General features: G+C 49.6%; 1 protein-coding gene across 8 annotated transcripts in view; it reads right to left on the reverse strand.

Moving 5' to 3' along the window:
• The window catches only part of P2RY8 (P2Y receptor family member 8), a 74,605-nt gene that overhangs the window by 20,570 nt on the left and 31,352 nt on the right, over nt 1-22,683 (reverse strand). Inside the window, exons 1-2 of one of the 8 annotated variants that reach the window (NM_001424192.1) lie at nt 10,943-11,230; nt 9,847-9,971 (exon numbers count right to left, since the gene is read on the reverse strand). The exons of 3 other annotated variants lie outside the window; for them this stretch is intronic. The gene's annotated coding sequence lies outside the window, so the exon portion shown is untranslated. Of the gene's footprint in view, nt 1-13; nt 101-9,846; nt 9,972-10,942; nt 11,231-22,683 lie in introns of those variants that run through there. 4 more of the 8 variants (NM_001424187.1, NM_001424190.1, NM_001424189.1 and 1 more) reach the window with 4 other exon arrangements.

Genomic DNA, 22,683 nt, shown 5'->3' on the forward strand with positions numbered 1-22,683 from the left:
GACGCGGACTTGCCTTAGGATACTTTAATTGTGATCTGGTGGATTCTGCTCATCCTGTTTCCAGCCATGTGCTCAGCAAAGCAGTCAAAGAGAAAGATCCCTGGAGAAGAAACCGAGACGGTCTCAACTACCTTGTTCCTGCCCGAAGTCAAAGCTGGGCTCCCTTAGATCCAAAGCGGGGTTTCCTTAAAACCCAAACAGGAGCCAGGCGTGGTGGCTCATGCCTGTAATCCCAGCACTTTGGGAGGCTGAGGTGGGTGGATCACCTGAGGCTGGGAGTTCGAGACCAGCCTGACCAACATGGAGAAACCCCATCTCTACTAAAAATACAAAATTAGCCAGGCATGGAGGCGCATGCCTGTAATCCCAGCTACTCAGGAGGCTGAGGCAGGAGAATTGCTTGAACCCGGGAGGCAGAGGTCGCGGTGAGCCAACATTGCGCCACTGCACTCCAGCCTGGGCAACAAGAACAAAACTTTGTCTAAAGAGAGAGAAAAAAAAGAAACAACCCAAACAGGAGCTCCATTAAAACCCAAAGCTACCCTCCCTTAGACTCAAAAACAGGCTTCCTTAAAACCCAAAGAGGGGCTCCCTTAGACCCAGAGCTGAGCTCCCCAAAACCCAAAGTTGGACTCCCCTAAACCCAAAGCTGAGCTCCCTTAACCACAGAGCTGGGCTCTCCTAAACCCAATGCTGACCTCCTTTAAACCTGAAGCTGGGCTGCCTTAGACCAAAAGCTGGGCTCTCCTAAACCCAAACCTGAGCTCCCTTAAACCCAAAGCTGGGTTTCCCTAAAACTCAAAGCTGGGATCCCCTAAACCCAAAGCTGGGTTCCCCTAAACCCAAAGCTGGGCTCCCCTCAACTCAAAGCTGGGCTCCCTTAGACCCAAAGCTGGACTCCCCTAAACCCAAAGCTGGGCCCTTATATACCTAAAAAGCTGGGTTCCCCTAAACCCAAAGCTGGGCTCCCCTAAACTCAGGAAAGATTTTCATCTTTGAACACAAAGGAGTGTGTTTTTCTCTTGCTCCCTGGACCCAAACCCCCAATGACGGGAACCCTCAGCTGTGACAAGCCTCCAGTATACGTATTTCCCCACGTGTGAGCCAGTTTCAATCTCTCTCCTCTGAAAGGTGAAAGGGTCCCAAGGTAGCAGTGATCATAGACAGAGACTCATTTCTTTGTTCTCTTTGTGACCTAAGGGAGGTTCTCAGGCCCACAGAAAAGGATATTTTAAAAGATTTCAAAGCAGTACCCATCCTAGGCTACCCCTCAGCACAAGAAATTAACATTACAGGCCGGGCGCGGTGGCTCACGCCAGTCATCCCAGCACTTTGGGAGGCTGAGGCGGGCGGATCATGAGGTCGGAAGTTCGAGACCAGCCTGGTCAACAAGGCAAAGCCTCGTCTGTACTAAAAATACAAAAAAAATTAGCCGGGTGTCATGGCAGGTGCCTGTCATTCCAGCTACTCGGGAGGCTGAGACGGGAGAATTGCTGGAACCCGGGAGGCGGAGGTTGCAGTGAGCTGAGATCACACCACTGCACTCCAGCCTGCGTGACAGAGCAAAACCCTGTAAAAAAAAAAAAAAAAAAAAAAAAGAAGAAGAAGAAGAAGAAGCGGCAGCTGGGGAACCTTCCTGAGCAAAAACTAGAATCCTCTGTGTCCCATTCAAGTCCTGCGTGTTTGCAAATTGACTCCAAAAATCACCTGGTGTGTCCTCAAATAGTTAACCATGTCATGCACCAATTCTCCTCCTAGGTAAAAGCTGGAGACAAATAAAGACAGGTGGAGAATTTGTTAAGCAAACATCTGATTCCTTAATGATGTAATAATGTCTTTTTTTTTTTTTTTTTTTTTTTTTAGAGACAGGATTGCAGTTTGTTGCTCAGGCTGGTCTCCAAGTCCTAGACTCAAGAAATCCTCCTGCCTCAGCCTCCAAAAGTGTTGAGATTACAGGTCTGAGCCACTGCACCCAGCCCTTAGTAATGTCTTTTTTCTTCTTTTGAAGGTGGTTTCTCACTCGGTCGTCCAGGCTGGAGTGCAGTGGCTTCATGGCGGCTCACGGCAACCTTCACCTCTGGGCTTCAAGCAGTTCTCGTGCCTCAGCCTCCCGAGTAGCTGGAACTACAGGTGTGCACCACCACGCCCAGCTACATTTTTGAATTTTAGCAAAGATGGGCATTGTACCATGTTGCCCAGGCTGGTCTCAAATTCCTGAGGTCAGGCAATCCACTTGCCTTGGCCACCCAAAATGCTAGGATTACAGGCGTGAGCCACTGCGCCCAGCCCCTTAATGATGCCTTACTGTAAATTATGGGTAAATGTGTACACATTAAATTAAATATTACCTTATTAACATTTTATTTACTTTTGTTTCTCTTTTATATTGTAATTAAGGCTATATGGATATGTAAATTTAATATGTAAATAATATACATAATCATATAAAGTGATATAATGTATAAATTATTATTATATAATATTACATATATTATTTATATATATTATTGTTATATAATAATTTATTTACAACTTATTTTATTATAAATTAAACATGTTATATTGTATGTATATTTAATAATTATATACGATATATTGTATAGTATCATTTATATGTTATATATAATTTGTGTATTATATGTAACATATTGAACATAGCATATATAAAATTATATACAACATATTTTATAGATCACCTTATGTGTATATATAATTATATGTATAATACATTATTTCTGCATGTCATTTTGGTAAGTGAAGGTAGCATTAGAAAATGTATAAAAAGGGGCTAGGTGTGGTGGCTCACACCTATAATCCCAGCACTTTGGGAAGCTGAGACAGGTGGATCACCTGAGGCCAGGAGTTCAAGACCAGCCTGGCCAACATGGTGAAACCCTGTCTTTACTAAAAATACAAAATTATCTGGGAGTGGTGGCAGGCACCTGTCATCCCAGCCACTTGGGAGGCTGAGGCAGGAGAATCGCTTGAACCCGGGAGGCGGAGGTTGCAGTGAGCGGAGATCATGCCATTGCACTCCAGGCTGGGTGAAAAGAGTGAAACTCTGTCTCAACAACAACAAAAAATGGTTGCACCCATAAAAACTTGCATATGAACGTTCCCTGCAGCACTCTTCACAACAGCCAAAAGGTGGAAACAGCCCAAGTGTCCGTCAACAGACAGACAGATAAACACAACGTGGCCCCCCCATGCACACAGTGGAATAGTATACAGCCATGAAAAGGAAGAAGGCTGTGACCGAGGCTACACTGTGGATGAACCTTGAAGACATCATGCTCAGGGAGAGAAGCCAGACACAGAAGGCCACATGGTGTAGGACTCCATTTCAATAAAATGCCCAGAACATGCTGATCCATATAGAGAGAAAGCAGATGACCATGGCTGGGACTGGGGATGGGGAAACGGGGAGTGACTTTCCCCCTAAAGGGGGTGTTTCCTTTTGCAGGAATGACAAAGTGGTGGAAATAGACAGAGGCGGCTGTTGCCCAGCACTGTGAAGGTCCTAAATGTCCCCCAGTTATTCGCTTTAAAACGGTGAGTTCATGTCAAGCATAATCTCAACAAGAAACAATTGTCTCTTGAAGCAGGAAGGACATTCCTCAGGTTTCTGGTTTACTTCCTGCGTCTGAGCTGGCCCTTCCCCTACACCCTCCTGGCTGACTCCCTGCCCGCGCTGAGTCCTGAATGCTCCTGCAGTCTCAGTGCTCCCCCGCTTGTTGCTTGGGTCTTCCTGTCCCTCAGAGAGCCCCGGTCACAGCCAGGCTGACCCTTTCTCCCCGGGACAGGGCAGCCCCAGGGCCGAGCTTCCGCTTTTGGGGGATGCAGTCGTCACTGGGGCCGTAGCCAGCCTGGCCTCCTCATCCCTCAGGTCCCTACCGGGGTGTCTGGGGCCGGCTGCGCAAGCCTTCCCTGTCTGTGGTCACTATGGCTGATTTGAGCTTGGCTGGGCCTGAGTGGAGGGGAAGCAGTGGCCACCACTGTGTGAACCAGTGACCTCACGGTGTCCCTCAGGGAGCCACAGTGAAAGGCGTCCAAGTTCTCAAGTCCAGCATTGTTTCAATTTCCTCCTTGTCTTTCCCGGCCACACAGAGCTTCCTTCCTAGCTGCCTGGAGATGACAGGGAAGGAGAAGGTCAAGTGTGCTTGAGTCCTCAGGTGACATCGCCTGTTCTTAGAGCAGACGTCACATTGAATGTTTGCAAACGTTTTTTTGTGCACCCGTCCTAGGAAGACGCGCTTATCATCTTTGCTTTACATATGGGGACACTGAGGGGCAGAGGGCATAAGGAACCTGGGCCATGAGTGACAAGGGGCGTGGTGCTTGGGACCCAGACTGTAGGTTTTCTGGGCATGTAGAAGATGCCGCACTCTGCCTTGCAATAATCTCCAAATACACGCATCTGAGTGGAAACACACCTGCGCCTCTGAGCCTGAACTCTGCACCTGTCTCTGGCTGCCTGTCTCATCCTCCCTGCCCTCCCAAGGGGATTTCAGGGACCATACTGCATACTGAGAGCTCCCCAAGGAGAAGAGACCTGAAGTGTATCATCCTGGTGCTCCCTGAGGCTGGAGCATAGTCCTGGCCTGCTGGGCAGGTGCATTTGCACCTGCTCTTTGCAGGGGTTGGGGACAAGTCAGAATACGGGTAAAAAAGAAGGCCGGGCCAGGCGCGGTGGCTCACGCCTGTCATCCCAGCACTTTGGGAGGCCGAGGCGGGTGGATCACGAGGTCAGGAGATCGAGACCATCCTGGCTAACACGGTGAAACCCCGTCTCTACTAAAACTATAAAAAATTAGCCAGGCGTGGTGGTGGGCGTCTGTAATCCCAGCAACTTGGGAGGCTGAGGCATGAGAATCGCTTGAACCTGGGAGGTGGAGGTTGCGGTGAGCCAAGATCGTGCCGCTGCACTCCAGCCTGGCCAACAAGAGCAAAACTCTGTCTAAAAAAAAAAAAGAAGAAGAAGAGAAGTGGGTCTCAACAGGGTCCCCAGTGTATCACTAACAGCTGAGCCCCCAGGAGCCCCTCAGCCTGCCTGAGTTATTCCTGGAGAGGCAGAACGAGCTGAGGAATCTCACTGCCTGGTTCTGCCCTAAACCACCCTCCTGGGAAGGGGTGAATGCAAAGCTACCAAGTGACTACTACTCAAAGGCTGGGGTGGTGTTTCCCCTGCTCGCTGTCAGGCACAGATGATGTGCTTATGCCAGTTTCCTTGGTACAGTGGTCTACCTGGCCCTGCAGAAAGCTGTGTCCCCACAGCGGTGGGACCAACTCACAGATATCTCCTTGCCCTAGCTCCTGTGATTCCTCTGGCCCATGCAGCTCCTTATGCCTGTCTGCACCCAGCACAGTCTTGAGTGACACCTTCAACCCTCCTTCTTGGGGCATCAGCCCACCATGGACCTGCCAGAGCCTCTTGGAAGTCTGCATTTCATTCCAGCCCATGGGTGCCAGCTCCTGCCTCCATGAAGACCCTCTCCTCCCCACCAGGTACCTGCTGCAAACTCCTTTGGGTCTGCTGTCCTTAGCTTAGAGCTGTGCACCCAGGATGGTCTTGGTAAATGCAGGGTGTGTGTGTGTGTGTGTGTGTGTGTGTGTGATACAGGACATTCCCAATGACTGTGGAGGGAATGAATGGGTGCATGTATGAATAACACTCAGAGCGTCCACACAAATGTGGAGAGAATGAATGAATGACATCCAGGATTCAGTTATGCAAATGTGGAGGGAATGAATGAATGATACCCAGGGTTCACTCCCACAAATGTGGAGGGAATGAATGAATGAATGGCATCCAGGGTACACTCCTGCAAATGTGGAGGGAATGAATGGATGATACCTAGGATTCACTCCCACAAATGTGGAGGGAAAGAATGAATGACACCCAGAGATTCATTCCCACAAATGTGCAGGGAAAGAATGAATGACACCCAAGATTCTCTTCTGCAAATGTAGAGAAAAGTAATGAATGATGCCCAGGGCTTCCCCACAAAAGTGGAGGGAATGAATGAATGACACCCAGGATTCACTTCGGCAAATGTAGAGAGAATGAATAAATGATACCCAGAGATTCCCCACAAATGTGGAGGGAATGAATGACTGACACCTAAGGATTCCCTACAAATGTAGAGGGAATGAATATCACTCAGAGATTTACTCCTGCAACAGTGGAGAGAATGAATGAATGAACGACACCTAAGGATTCCTCACAAATGTGGAGGGAATGAATGACTGACACCCAGGATTCACTTCCGTAAATGTAGAGAGAATGAATATCACTCAGAGATTTACTCCTGCAACAGTGGAGAGAATGAATGAATGAATGACACCTAAGGATTCCTCACAAATGTGGAGGGAATGAATGACTGACACCCAGGATTCACTTCTGCAAATGTAGAGAGAATGAATGAATGATACCCAGATATTCCCTGCAAATGTGGAGGGAACGAATGAATGACATCCAGGGCTTCCCTGCAAATGTGGAGGGAACGAATGAATGATACCCCAGATTCACTTCTGCAAATGTAGAGAGAATGAATGAATGATACCCAGATATTCCCCGCAAATGTGGGGGGAATGAATGAATGATACCCCAGATTCACTTCTGCAAATGTAGAGAGAATGAATGAATGATACCCAGATATTCCCTGCAAATGTGGGGGGAATGAATGAATGACATCCAGGGATTCTCCACAAATGTGGAGGGAATGAATGAATGATACCCCAGATTCACTTCTGCAAATGTAGAGAGAATGAATGATACCCAGATATTCCCCACAAATGTGGGGGGAATGAATGAATGATACCCCAGATTCACTTCTGCAAATGTAGAGAGAATGAATGAATGATACCCAGATATTCCCCACAAATGTGGGGGGAATGAATGAATGACATCCAGGGATTCTCCACAAATGTGGAGGGAATGAATGAATGATACCCCAGATTCACTTCTGCAAATGTAGAGAGAATGAATGAATGATACCCAGATATTCCCCACAAATGTGGGGGGAATGAATGAATGATACCCCAGATTCACTTCTGCAAATGTAGAGAGAATGAATGAATGATACCCAGATATTCCCCACAAATGTGGGGGGAATGAATGAATGACATCCAGGGATTCTCCACAAATGTGGAGGGAATGAATGAATGATACCCCAGATTCACTTCTGCAAATGTAGAGAGAATGAATGAATGATACCCAGATATTCCCTGCAAATGTGGAGGGAATGAATGAATGATACCCCAGATTCAGTTCTGCAAATGTAGAGAGAATGAATGAATGATACCCAGATATTCCCTGCAAATGTGGGGGGAATGAATGAATGACATCCAGGGATTCTCCACAAATGTGGAGGGAATGAATGAATGATACCCCGGATTCACTTCTGCAAATGTAGAGAGAATGAATGAATGATACCCAGATATTCCCTGCAAATGTGGGGGGAATGAATGAATGACATCCAGGGATTCTCCACAAATGTGGAGGGAATGAATGAATGATACCCCAGATTCACTTCTGCAAATGTAGAGAGAATGAATGAATGATACCCAGATATTCCCCACAAATGTGGGGGGAATGAATGAATGATACCCCAGATTCACTTCTGCAAACGTAGAGAGAATGAATGAATGATACCCAGATATTCCCTGCAAATGTGGGGGGAATGAATGAATGATACCCCAGATTCACTTCTGCAAATGTAGAGAGAATGAATGAATGATACCCAGATATTCCCTGCAAATGTGGGGGGAATGAATGAATGAATGATACCCCAGATTCACTTCTGCAAATGTAGAGAGAATGAATGAATGATACCCAGATATTCCCCACAAATGTGGGGGGAATGAATGAATGATACCCCAGATTCACTTCTGCAAATGTAGAGAGAATGAATGAATGATACCCAGATATTCCCTGCAAATGTGGGGGGAATGAATGAATGACATCCAGGGATTCTCCACAAATGTGGAGGGAATGAATGAATGATACCCCAGATTCACTTCTGCAAATGTAGAGAGAATGAATGAATGATACCCAGATATTCACTGCAAATGTGGGGGGAATGAATGAATGATACCCCAGATTCACTTCTGCAAATGTAGAGAGAATGAATGAATGATACCCAGATATTCCCCACAAATGTGGGGGGAATTAATGAATGACATCCGGGGATTCCCCACAAATGTGAAGGGAATTAATGAATGACACACAGAGATTCATTCCTGCAAATGTGGAGGGAATGAAGGAATGAGTAGCACACAGGACTTGCTTGATAAACGAATGGGTGAATACATAAATCAATGACGTGTAGGGTTTTCTCCCTAAAAGTGGAGTGAATAAATGAAAGAGTGAATGCATGATGCCCACTAGTTCCTGACAAGTGTGGAGCAAATGAGTAAATGAGTGAATGAATGAATGCCACTCTGAGAATGCACAGCCAATGAGTGACGGAATGTGTGGAGCAAATGAGTAAATGAATGAATGAATGAATGAATGCCACTCTGAGAATACAGAGCGAATGAGTGATGGAATGTGTGGAGCAAATGAGTAAATGAGTGAATGAATGAATGCCACTCTGAGAATGCACAGCCAATGAGTGACGGAATGTGTGGAGCAAATGAGTAAATGAATGAATGAATGAATGAATGCCACTCTGAGAATGCAGAGCGAATGAGTGATGGAATGTGTGGAGCAAATGAGTAAATGAATGAATGCATGAATGAATGCATGAATGAATGCCACTCTGAGAATGCAGAGTGAATGAGTGATGGAATGGACAGAAGGCGGCAGGGGCAGTGTGGACGTTAGCCCCACCGCCTCCCTCCGGTCCACTTTGGTCCAGCTTGCTACTGGCCCTGACCTCTCTGCTGCATCCATGGAAACTGTGCACCCAGCACCCCTCGCCCCTGGGGTCACTCCCTGTCTGGGCTGTGTGGTTCTCCAGGACTGCCAATCAATGAGGAGAGGGGTGTGGTCCAAGCCTTTCAATCACTGAGGATAGGGGGGTGTGGTCCAAGCCTGTCAATCACTGAAGATGGGGGTGTGTGGCCAAAGCCTGTCAATCACCCAAGAGAGGGGTGTGGCCCAAGCCTGGCCAGTTAGGGGGCCACCCTCACCCTGTTCATAAAAATTATCTCAAGCAGTGGTCATTTGTTTCTGACATGGCTGGTCGGAACCCTTCAGGAGGTGTAACTTGTGGGTGCCAGGAGAGAGAGGGTGTCTCTTTTCCCATTTGATTCTGCTCTGAAAAGATGGGGACCCCAGGCTACCAGAGACCCTCTTTCCATCCCTATAGAGAAAGTGGTCTTCCTCCAGTGATTCCACACCCTGCAGCTGAGGGAGGCAGAAAAAGGTGGGGCTGAAACGTGGGAAGAGAGAAAGAGAAAGAGGAGAAACTGACAACCATGTAAGCTCCTGGATCCAGCCATGCCTGAAGCCCCCATAGAAATCCTAATTATCCAATTTGACAATTTCCACCTTGACTTCAGCTAGCTCGACTCAAGTTTCTATTGCTGGCCATAGAAGACAGTTATGCCTCAAGCACTAGGGGTAGGCAGGTTGGGCTCCCAGTTGAGGGACAGAATTGTCCTAGTTCCAGAGAGAGGGCCCACGGAGCCCAGGCCACCTGCCCTGGGCTGAGACATGGTTGTTTCAAAGGCAGTCACGTATCATTCATCACTAATTCCCCAGTGCAGTGGTTCAAGGCTAACGAGCAGCACTCAGCGCCCACCTCTGCCTCTTTCTGGTTGTAGGTCTTGAACACACCCCCGCCTCCATGTCTGCCTCAGTTTCCGTTACTGGTAAAACAGGGATGATTGTAACAGCACCTGTCTCACGAAGTTTCGAAAATCCCAGAGATCAGGCCAGGCGCACTTTGGGAGGCCGAAGCGGGTGGATCATGAGGTCGGGAGTTCGAGATCAGCCTGGTCAACATAGTGAGACCCCATCTCTACTAAAAAATACAAAAAATTAGCCGGGCGTTGGGGTGGGCGCCTGTAATCCCAGCTACGTGGGAGGCTGAGGCAGGAGAATCACTTGAACCCGGGAGGCGGAGGTTGCAGTGAGCAGAGGTCACGCCACTGCACTCCAGCCTGGGCAACAGTGCGAGACAAGAAAGGAAAGAAAGGAGAGGAGAAGAGAGGACAGGAGAGGAGGGGAGGGGAGGGGAGGGGAGGGGAGGGGAGGGGAGGGGAGGGGGAGGGAGGAAGGAGGAAGGAGGGAGGGAGGGAAGGAGGAAGGAGGAGGAAGGAGGAAGGAGGAGGGAGGGAAGGAGGAGGAAGGAGGAAGGAGGGAGGAGGGAGGGAGGGAAGGAAGGAAAGATCGCAGAGATAAAGCCCTTGTAAAAGTGGCTGCTGCTTCCTCCTCACTCAGTCGACGTGAACTATTTTTATTAGCGAAAAACCAAGAACAACGTCTCCTCCCCACAAAACAAAAGCAAAATAAAAGCCAAAGACAGGTGTGAAGAAGATTTCTGGGAGAGCGCATTTTAAAGAAGGTGGGACTTTCTTCATCCGAGAGCCACCCAACCCAGCATCTCGGCGTGGGCCGGCCTGTACCCCTCGTCAAAGGAACAATTGGCTTGCAAACTGGGAATCTCCGTTAAAACGGACAAGACGATTTTGCTCTTTTCTTGCGGCAACGTCTGAAGATGTGCAAGAAGGGGGTCTGTTTTAGGCCAACCTCAGCCCTCTCTGCGACCCTCGAGAGCTTGTGCAAATGGCACAGCTCCTGCCTGGAGGCTGTGTGTCCTTTTGCAGCACTCTGGTGAGCCCGGGTTAAAAATCACACACCCCAAAGGGAGGCTGAGCTGAGGGCTTTCTCTGGCATTCAGCAGCGTCTCTGGCCTGGATATGCCCTGCTAGCTGGGGTATTTCTGCAGAGCAGCCTCTCCTACCCGAACACTCCCAGGTCCCCGTGACTTACAACGGTGGCTGCAGGGAGGGCAGACGTCCTGGGTGATGCTGGTCTGGTGGTGCTTGTCTGAGCAGCCGTCAAGCTAGGCAGGGGGTCCTGGGGGACCCTCCTCCTGGGCCAGAGGCGGCTGCCCTATGGGAGTGAGCTCCGCACAGGAGCAGGAGTGGAGGGCCAGCTCTCTGCTCTGCTGGGAAAAAAATCCCACTGGCTGTGCCTGCACCGCACCTTGAGACAGACACCAGCAGCCTCCGGAGACCCAGCAAGCTGCTCTTAGCTGCGATCTGTCATCTGCAGACTGAGCTTGGTGCATGGCGGTTATGAAACTGGCCAGAGCAACAATAGATGGAAAAGCTTCCTCTTTTTGGCCCTGGGCCCCAGGGAGCGAGGTCAGGTAATCCGAGGGGGATTTTATGTGTTTTTCTCCTAATGCGGTATTTTTCAATTAGGCTTTAAAAAAAAAAAATGAGTTTGGCCTCCATGTATGCGGGACCATTGCCTCAGAAGGGTTAGTTTAGGATTAGAAAATGGGTTAAACTTAAGGACAGCTTCTCTTGGATATATTGGATATTACTTTATGCTTTATGTGAAAATACTAATTTTTAAAAATATGTATGTCCATAGTCACTATTTGTTTTCTTTTGAGACTGAGTCTCGCTCTGCCTCCCAACCTGGAGTGCAATGGCACCGTCTCCGCTCACTGTCACTTCCTCCTCCCAGGTTCAAATGATTCTGCCTCAGCCTCCCAAGTAGCTGGGAAGACAGGCATACATCACCACACCTGGCTAATTTTTTTTTTTTTTTGTATTTTTTTTTTAGTAGAGACAGGGTTTCATCATGTTGGTCAGGCTGGTCTTGAACTCCTGACCTCAGGTGATCCACCCGCCTCGGCCTCCCAAAGTGCTGGGATTACGGGCATGAGCCACTGCGCCCGGCTGCGTATTCACTATTTAAAAGTAGTCAGTACTCATTGGATGATGCTAAGACAGTTTTTTATTTGGAAGCTTGAGGCTGCAGTGAGCTGAACTGCACTGTACTCACTGTTCGGAACTGAATTGAACTCACACCACTGCACTCCAGCCTGGGTGACAGAGCAGGACCCTGTCTTAAAAATTAAAGGGAGAGCCCTTTATTACAAACAGCGAGCTCAGTATATATTTTCTGAGTGTTGTGTCTGTTACAGGCTGCATTGTACCCTCCCAAATTCATACGTTAAAGTCCTAACCCCTAGGACCACACAATGTGGCTGTATTTGGAGGTTACCTCTTTAAAGAGTTAACTACAGTAAAATGAGGTCACCAGGAGTGGGCCCTGATCCAATAGGACCGGTGTCCTCATAAGAAGAGGAGATGAGGACACAGACACACACAGAGGGACGACACTGTGAGGACACAGGGAGAAGACGGCATCTCCAAGCCCAGGAGAGAGGCCTCAGGAGGAACCAGCCCTGCCCATACCTGGATCTCAGACCTCCAGCCTCCAGGACTGTGGGAGAATCAATGTTTGTTGTTTCTAAGCTGCCCAGTCTATGGTATTCTGGGATAGTCGTTCGAAATGGACAAAGACACCTCATAAGAAGAGGAGATGAGGACACAGACACATACAGAGAGATGACCCTGTGAGGACACAGGGAGAAGACGGCGTCTCCAAGCCCAGGAGAGAGGCCTCAGGAGGAACCAGCCCTGCCCATACCTGGATCTCAGACCTCCACCCTCCAGGACTGTGGGAGAATCAATGTCTGTTGTGTATAAGCCCCCCAGTCTACGGTATTCTGTGACAGCAGCCTGAGATGGACTAAGACACCTCATAAGAAGAGGAGATGAGGACACAGACACACACAGAGAGATGACCCTGTGAGGACACAGGGAGAAGTCGATGTCTCTAAGTCCACAAGAGAGGCCTCAGGAGGAACCAGCCCTGCCCACACCTGGATCTCAGACCTCCAGCCTCCAGGACTGTGGGAGAAACAATGTCTGTTGTTTACAGTCCACCCAGTTTGCAGTGTTTTATTACGGCGGCCGAGCTGACTACCCATCCACTCTGAAGCAGTTGGGAGAAGGCAGACGTCAGAGATGCTGCCGAAACCTAGGCTGAATGGAAGTGAACTTGGGATGCTGCTGAGACCTAGGCTGAATGGACGTCAACTTGGGTACCACTGGCTTCTCCCTGCTGTTGAATCCCAAAGACCATCTCGAGGCCATCTGGAGTCATGCTCCCCCGCCAGCTTCTCAGTAGAGACAGCACGTTACAGGGTGGGAAATGGTTATTCACAATTGTTCAGTGGCTGCCTGCCTTGGCGTTGGGGAGCCACATGAGAAGGCTCACAGCCACAGCCACAGCCCTCCCGGGTGCGACTCCCTGGGATCCTGCCCTCTGCCCTCTCAGAGGGTTTCTCTCTCTCTCCGCTCAGTTCACAGGAAGCAACTTGTCTGCAGTTCCCAAATCTACTTCTTGGAGCCTCTGTCCTCTACTATTTTCCTGGAGGGAACAGGCTGGGAAGGAAGGTGGTGTCCCCTTAAAACATTCAGTCAGCCGCGGCTTCAGACGGAGCAGTCATTTGTAGGTAACTAGGACTTGGGAAGATATTCAACACTGCTTCCTGGGAGTTTTTTTTCTTTCTTTCTTTCTTTTTTGTGAGATGGAGTCTCACTCTGTCTCCCAGGTTGGAGTGCAGTAGCGCGATGTCGGCTCCCTGCAACCTCCGCCTCCCTGGTTCAAGCAATTCTCCTGCCTCAGGCTCCCGAGTAGCTGGGATGACAGGCACCCACCGCACCTGGCCAAGTATTTTTAATATTAGTATTTTAGAAACTCAGTCACTCCGCTAGTAAACCAGTATGGATAGAAATGCAAACATCAGGCCGGGCGTGGTGGCTCACGCCTGTAATCCCAGCACTTTGGGAGGCCGAGGCGGGTGGATCACTTGAGATCAGGAGTTCGAGACCAGTCTGATCAACATGGTGAAACCCTGTCTCTACTTAAAATACAAAAATTAGCCAGGCGTGGTGGTGGCGGGTGCCTGTAATCCCAGCTATTCAGGAGACTGAGGCAGGAGAATCACTTCAACCCGGGAGGTGGAGGTTGCAGTGAGCTGAGATCGCGCCACTGCACTCCAGCCTGGGGGACAGAGTGGGACTCCGTCTCAAAAAAAAAAAAAAAGAAAAGAAAAAGAAAAAAAAGAAACTCAAACATCACAGAGAGAGATCAATGTTTTTTTTTTTAAATAGCATGTTAATTAGGGTTTTCTCTTTTTTTTTTTCAAGACAAGGTCTCACTCTGTGGCCCAAGCTGGAGTGTAGGCCGGGCACGGTGGCTCACACCTGTAATCCCAGCATTTTGGGAGGCCGAGGTGGGCAGATCGCCTGAGGTTGGGAGTTTGAGACCAGCCTGGCCAAGACGGTGAAACCCTGTGTCTACTAAAGATACACAAATTAGCCGGGCATGGTGGCGGGTGCCTGTAATCCCAGCTACTCAGGAGGCCGAGGCAGGAGAATCGCTTGAACCCGGGAGGCGGAGGTTGCGGTGAGCCGAGACCGTGCCACGGCACTCCAGCCTGGGTGACGAGTAAACTCTGTCTCAAAATAAATAAATAAATAAATAGTATGCTGACAAGCAAATATGGCCTTTTCTGTTTGTTATTACGCCTGGCATCTCCAAGAAGGTACCGGACTTGCTGAGGTGTGGAGTAGCATCCAGGCTGGTGAGAGATGGTTGGTTTGGGGTGCAGTGGGGCGGCGAGGGGCTTGTTGGGACCGGCTTGGAGGCCTGTGGGTGTCAGACCTGCAGCCTAGCGGGTCCTTGCCATCCAGGAAGCTGTGAGTATTTGGTTTGGGGCAGCTGAACCCAGGAAGCAGGACTGAGGAGGTAAGAAGCAGAGAGGGATGAGCAGTACACTCCCGCCGGGTGCCAGCCAACAGACACGGAGAGCATGAAGGATAAAAATAAAAGACCAACTGCTCCCTGCGAGCTGATTCCTGGTTTGCCCTGGAGACTCAAGCTGCTCCTGAACTTTAAACAGCACCCACAGTGTCAGAAAACTGTTGATGAGGCCGGGCGCGGTGGCTCACGCCTGTCATCCCAGCACTTTGGGAGGCCGAGGCGGGCAGATCGCGAGGTCAGGAGATCAAGACCATCCTGGCCAACATGCTGAAACCCCGTCTCTACTGAAAACACAAAAAATTAGCCGGGTGTGGTGGCGGGTGCCTGTAGTCCCAGCTACTCGGGAGGCTGAGGCAGGAGAATGGCGTGAACCTGGGAGGCGGAGCTTGCAGTGAGCCGAGATCGCGCCACTGCACTCCAGCCTGGGCGACAGAGCGAGACTCTGTCTCAAAAAAAAAAAAAAAAAAGAAAAAGAAAGAAAACTTGAAGAGGGCCAGCCCATCTTGGTTACAGCCCACAAGAGGTGACCTCCCAACACTATGGGACCTGCAACAGCCAACTCTGTATTTTTTTTTTTTCAGACGGAGTTTTCCTCTTGTCACCCAGGCTAGAGTGCAGTGGCACAATCTTGGTTCACTGCAACATCTGCCTCCCAGGTTCAAGCGATTCTCCTGCCTCAGCCTCCTGAGTAGCTGGGATTACAGGCACGCGCCACCATGCCCGGCTAATTTTTGTATTTTTAGTAAAGATGCGGTTTCACCATGTTGCACAGGCTGAACTCCTGATCTTGAACTCCTGGTCTCGAACTCCTGATCTTGTGATCCGCCCTCCTCAGCCTCCCAAAGTTCTGGGATGACAGGTGCGAACCACCGCACCTGGCCCTCTGTTATTTTTTGAGATGGAGTCTCACTCTTGTCACCCAGGCTGGAGTGCAGTGGCACGATCTTGGCTCACTGCAACTTCCGCCTCCTGAGTTCAAGCGATTCTCCTGCCTCAGCCTCCTGAGTAGCTGGGATTACAGGCGCGTGCCATAATGCCTAGCTAATTTTTGTATTTTTAGTAGAGACAGGGTTTCACCATGTTGCCCAGGCTGATCTTGAACTCCTTATCTTGTGATCCACCCGCCTCAGCCTTCCAAAGTGCTGGGATTACAGGCATGAGCCCCTGCACCCAACCCTCTGTTTTTTTTCTTTTTCTTTTTCTTTTCTTTTTTTTTTTTTTTTTTGAGACAGTTTCACTCTTGTCCCCCAGGCTGGAGTGCAATGGCACGATCTCGGTTCAGTGAAACCTCTGCCTCCCAGGTTCAAGCGATTTTCCTGCCTCAGCCTCCTGAGTAGCTGGGATTACACGAGGTGTGTGCCACCACGCCTGGCCAATTTTTATATTTTTAGTAGAGACGGGGTTTCACCATGTTGGCCAGGCTGATCTCGAACTCCTGACCTCAGGTGATCCTCCTGCCTTGGCCCCCAAAATGCTGGGATTACAGACGTGAACCACCATGCCTGGTGGCCCTGGCCTTTTCTTACGCATGAGGTAATGCTTGCCACACCTACTGGTTATGTTCCTGCAAACTATCACCAGATCGCCTCTTACGCCCAAACTTTAATGCAATGTTTCACGTACTATGTATTTACTGCGTATATTAAAACTATAACTTATGGGAAATGTGTCATTAGGTGAAACGTATTAATAAGGAAAAAAAAGAAATAAAAACAAAACAAAACAAAAAAACCCTATAATTTAAAATACTACATTCAAACAACCTGACCAAAACTTTCTAAATGATTTCCCCAAAACAGAGCCGTAAGTAACTTGGGAACAAGACAAGAGGCAACCTGGGATGTCTTTCTATTTATTTATATCTCTAATTTTTTGAATCTGTTTTTTTGTTTTGTTTTGTTTTGTTTTGTTTTTCTTTTTGAGACGGAGTCTCGCTCTGTGGCCCAGGCTGGAGTGCAGTGGTGTGATCTCAGCTCACTGCAAGCTCCGCCTCCCGGGTTCCCGCCATTCTCCTGCCTCAGCCTCCCGAGTAGCTGGGACTACAGGCGTGTACCACCATGCCCAGCTAATTTTTTGTATTTTTAGTAGAGACGGGGTTTCACCGTGTTAGCCAGGATGGTCTCGATCTCCTGACCTCATGATCCGCCTGCCTCGGCCTCCCAAAGTGCTGGGATGACAGGCGTGAGCCACCGCGCCCGGCCTGTTGTTGTTTTTTAATGTTTTTTTTTAGTTTTCGGTGTACAAATCTACTTTCATGATTAATTTCTAACTGTTTTATTCTTTTTGGTGTTATTGTTAATGTAATTGTTTTCTTATTCTCTTATTTATGTACTTATTTTGAGGTAGGGTCTCACTCTGTTGCCCAGGCTGGAGTGCATTGGCACAATCATGGCTCACAGCAGCCTTGAACTCCTGGGTTCTAGTGATCCTCCCACCTCAGCTTCTCAAGTAGCTGGGACTACAGGCGTGCACCACCATGCCCAGCTAATTTTTTTTTTTGTTTTTTGAGACGGAGTCTCACTCTGTCATCTAGGCTGGAGTGCAGTGGTGTGATCTCGGCTCACTGCAACCTCCGCCTCCCGAGTTCAAGTGATTCTCCTGCCTCAGCCTCCCGAGTAGCTGGGATTCCAGGTACACGCCACCACACCCAGCTAATTTTTGTATTTTTGGTAGAGACGGGGTTTCTACTAAATGTTGGCCAGGCTGGTCTCGAACTCCTGACCCCAGGTGATCCTCCAACCTAGCCCTCCCAAAGTCTTGGGATTACAGGCGAGAGGCCCTGCGCCCGGCCACGTTAATTCTTTAGAAGTCAACAGAGGCCCATTGCTCTGAGCCGCCGCCACCCCCAGCCCTGTTTGTGACGACCAATGGGCTGCCGTGGACATAGGATTTTGGGTGTGCTAAAACCAGGAAAGCCCCCAGCAGCACCCAGGCTCCGAGGTTCTGGGAGACACAACCTCCCCGCCAGAGGGAAATGACCCATTACAATCCCCTGGGTGGTTTTCCAGGCCAAGCAGCTGGGGCCGCCTGTCTGGCCCAGGGTGGCCTGAATCTCTCGGTTCTGTCCTGGGAGAGGTGGGGATTTTTAAGCCTGACCTTTTAACTTTACCACAGGGCTGCTATCCAGCCTTCCTTCCTGTGACAGACTCTACGCCCATCTTCCAAAGCTCACAGAGCTGGCCGGAGAGTCCCAGGGCCCTCTTGTGAACTACGTCTTGGAAGGAGGTGGCTGTGTCTTCTCAGATACCATGTCCAGGCTTACATCTGAATGTTTTCGGTCCGACTTCAAGGGACGTAAATATCAGACCCCTGGAAGCACTCTGTGCATCCCTGTGACGGTGCTTTGCAGACTTTTGGCCTGTGTTTGACTTTCTGATGCGTTTTCATTTTCACTTTCGTTTTTCTGTATTTATTTATGGAGACATAAGGTCTTGCTCTGTTGCCCCAGGCTAGAGTGCCATGGTGACATTATATAGCTCACTGCAACCTCAACTTCCTGGCCTGAACCGATCCTCCCACCTCAGCCTCCTGAGCAGCTGGGACCACAGGTGCTCACCACCATGGCTGGCTAATTATTTATTTTTGTAGACATAGGGGTCTCACTATATTGCCCCGTCTTAGTTTTCATTTTTATTTTTTATTATTATTATTATTTGAGACAAAGTTTCACTCTGTTGCCCAGGCTGGAGTGCAGTGGTGCGATCTTGGCTCACTGCAACCTCCATCTCCCGGGTTCAAGTGATTCTCCTGCCTCAGCCTCCCGAGTAGCTGGGATTACAGGCGCGCACCACCACGCCCGGCTAATTTTTTGTATTTTTAGTAGAGATGGGGTTTCACCGTGTTAGCCAGGATGGTCTCGATATCTGGACCTTGTGATCTGCCTGTCTCGGCCTCCCAAAGTGCTGGGATTACAGGCATGAGCCACCACGCCCGGCGAGTTTTCATTTTTATTGATTATTATTATTATTTTTTGAGACGAAATCTCGCTCTGTCACCCAGATTGGAGTGCAGCGCTGTGATCTTGCCTCACTGCAACCTCCGCCTCCCGGGTTCAAACGATTGTCCTGCCTCGGCCTCTTGAATATCTGGAACTACAGGCGTGTGCCACCACATCCAGCTCATTTTTGTATTATTAGTAGACACAGGGTTTTACTGTGGTGGCCAGGCTGGTCTTGAACTCCTGACCTCAGGTGATCCACCCACCTCGGCCTCTCAAAGTGCTGGGATGACAGACGTGAGCCACCACGCCTGGCCTCATTTTTCTATTTGGAAATAAAGTCCTGTCTAGGTTTATGAGGAGTGGGACCACATCACTGAAGATACACGAGCAAGAACATGGATTTGCTTATCTCTGTTTTGGTCATGTCCTCCCGGGGGGCAGGGGTGGGGGTGGCAAACCTCCTCCCCTCCCTCCCCCACTTCGAACACAGAGTGAGTGTTGGTGACACTCAGCCAGGGACAGGACCCCGCTGCGAGCCAGGTTCCTCTTTCTACTGACTCTCTGGGGACCCTGTTTGCCTCCCGGCAACACGCTTTGCCGAAGAGCCCCTGTGCTGGCTGCCACGTGAGCCGCCCCTGTCCCTACTCTCAGCAGCCTTCCCCACCTGCAAACCCAGATCGAGGGCCTCCCATGCTGGGTTGGATGGTGGCCCCCAGAGATATGTCCGTGTCCTGAGCCCTGCTATTTGGGGAGGGGGTTTCATTTGGAAAAGAGGGTCTTTGCAGATTCATTCCGTTGTGGATCTTGAGAGAAAATAATCCTGCATTGTCTGGGTGGGCCTTAAATGCAATGACAGGTGTCCTTCTAAGAGACAGGAGAGGAGACACAGACACAGAGGAGAAGGCCACGTGGAGACGGAGACAGAGCCTGGAATGACGCGGCCACAAGCCCAGGGATGCCTGGAGCCCCCAGGAGCTGGGAGAGACAGGAAGGAGCCTCCGGAGGGAACTGGATCCAATTGTAATGGGTTGAACAGCGGATCCTGGAAAGATATGTCCATATCCTAGAGCCCAGAACCTGGAATGAGACCTTATTTGGAAATAAGAACTTTGCAGATTTAATGAGTTAAGGATCTCAAGATGAGATACTCCTGGATTAGGCTGGGCCCTAAATCCAATGACAGGTGCCCTGGTAAAAGACAGAAGAGGAGACGCAGACACAGAGGAGAAGGCCACGTGGAGACGGAGACAGAGCCTGGAATGACGCGGCCACAAGCCCAGGGATGCCTGGAGCCCCCAGGAGCTGGGAGAGACAGGAAGGACCCTCCCCTAGAGCTCCTTGAGGGAGCACGGACCTGAGACATTTTGATCTCAGACTTCTGGCCCCCGGAACTGTAAGAAAGTAAATTCCTGTTGTCGAACTCCCCAGTTTGTGGCATTTTTTGTGTCAGCCTCAGGGGACTCACAGAAATGGCTTTGTCTCTGCACCCCTAAAATAATTTTAATGTTACTACTGAACAAGTTTGAAAGATGCAGGCACTTTCTGACATGCCACGAGCTTTGTTACTTAAAATACAACTGCCAGCTGGGCGTAGTGGTTCACACCTGTCATCCCAGCACTTCGGGAGGCCAGGGCGAGCAGATCACCTGAGGTCAGGAGTTCGAGACCAGCCTGGCCAACGTGGTAAACCCCGTCTCTACTAAAAATACAAAAATTAGCCAGGTGTGGTGGCTCACACCTGTAATCCCAGCACTTTGGGAGGCCGAGGCGGGTGGATCATCTGAGGTCAGGAGTTCGAGAACAGCCTGGCCAATGTGGCAAAACCCCGTCTCTGCTAAAAATACAAAAATTAGCTGGGCATGGTGGCAGGCACCTGTAGTCCCAGCTAATCAGGAGGCTGAGGCAGGAGAATCACTTGAACCCGGGAGGCAGAGGTTGCAGTGAGCTGAGATCATGCCACTGTACTCCAGCCTGGGTGAGACTTAGTCTCAAACAAAACAAAAAACAAGAAAAACCAAACACAGCTGCTTTGTCGCTGTTCTGGAGGAACTGAATAGACTGTAATCATGTTGGTGTTTTACAGGCAATTATCCACTTAAATAACCTGTAAAGGAACTGTCTTTAAAGATTTGGGAATTCTGCTGGACGTGGTGGCTCACGCCTGTAATCCCAGCACTTTGGGAGGCCGAGGCGGGCGGATCATGAGGTCAGGAATTCGAGACCAGCCTGTCCAATATGATGAAACCCCGTCTCTACTAAAAATACAAAAATTAGCTGGGCGTAGTTGCAGGCGCCTGTAGTCCCAGCTACTCGGGAGGCTGAGGCAGGAGAATCGCTGGAACCCGGGAGGCGGAGGTTGCGGTGAGCCGAGATGGCGCCACTGCACTCCAGCCTGGGCAACAGACCAAGACTCTGTGTCAAAAAAAAAAAAAGATTTGGGAATTCCACATGCTTCTTTGCCCCCCTTGAAGCTTCTGTTTCAATCTTATTGCCTCCTGATGTGATGTAGACCTGGATTTGAAAGCCTTTTAGTGGTGACCCTGTCCACCTCATGACAGCAAAACAGTTCATGTGTTGAAATTTAAACATAGGTTTCACTTCCTGCTACCATAAGGATCCCACGTGCTGGAAACTTCCCTCTGTTGAAATGTTCTCTGTGGTCAAAACTGATCAGGCTGGGTGCAGTGGCTCATGCCTGTCATCCCAGCATTTTGGGAGTCTGAGGCAGGTGGATCACTTGAGGTTAGGAGTTTGAGACCAGCCTGGCCAACATGGTGAAATCCCATCTCTACTAAAAATACAAAATTAGGTCGGGTGTTGTGGCTCACGCCTGTAATCCCAGCACTTTGGGAGGCTGATGCGGGCGGATCACCTGAGGTCAGGAGTTCGAGGCCAGCCTGGCCAACATGCTGAAACCCTGTCTCTACTAATAATACAAAAATTAGCCGGGCATTGGCCAGGCGTGGTGGCTCACGCCTGTCATCCCAGCACTTTGGGAAGCCGAGGCGGGTGGATCACAAGGTCAGGAGATCGAGACCATCCTGGCTAACACGGTGAAACCCTGTCTCTACTAAAAAAAATACAAAAATAAATTAGCCGGGCGTGGTGGCAGGCGCCTGTAGTCCCAGCTACTTGGGAGGCTGAGGCAGGAGAATGGCGTGAACCCGGGAGGCAGAGGTTGCAGTGAGCCGAGATCGTACCACTGCACTCCAGCCTGGGTGACAGAGAGAGACTCTGTCTCAAAAAAAAAAAAAAAAGGAAGAAAATCTCATGCTCAACCTCAAATTGGAAACGTGAATCAGGGCGTCTCAGAGGACCTGAGCTGGGTTTCTGTGACTGACGTGGTACTCTGGCCACTTGCCCATCACAAAAACGGATGAGACTGTGGAAAGCAGATCTTTATCTTTCTGAGAAGGAAGCAACAGAGGGCCTCGTCACCGGCCTTTCCGTTGGCCTTGGCGTCTTAATGACCACAGATAGTGTCCATGGACTGAGTTTCCTCGTGGCCAGCAAGGACAGGGCTGAAAAATGGAACCACTCCACATGGAGGCACTGGATGAGTGTCTGCAGACAACTGAAGATGAAGCTAGGTGTCTCATCAACAATTTCAGAATATTATCCACTAGCTTCGGAAGATACAAAAAGCCTTCTGGGAGGCCGAGGCGGGTCGATCACCTGAGGTCAGGAGTTGGAGACCAGCCTGGCCAACATGGTGAAACTCCATCTCTACTCAAAATATAAAACTTAGCTGGGTGTGGTGGCGGGCGCCTGTCATCCCAGCTACTCGGGAGGCTGAGGCAGGAGAATCGCTTGAACCAGGGAGGCGGAGGTTGCAGTGAGCCGACATGGCGCCATTGCACTCCAGCTTGGGCGACAGAGCAAGACTGCGTCTCAAAAACAAACAAACAATAAAACACAAAAAACAAAAAACAAAAGA

This window comes from Homo sapiens, chromosome Y (genome assembly GCF_000001405.40).
Source record: "Homo sapiens chromosome Y, GRCh38.p14 Primary Assembly".
Lineage (NCBI taxonomy): Eukaryota > Metazoa > Chordata > Mammalia > Primates > Hominidae > Homo > Homo sapiens.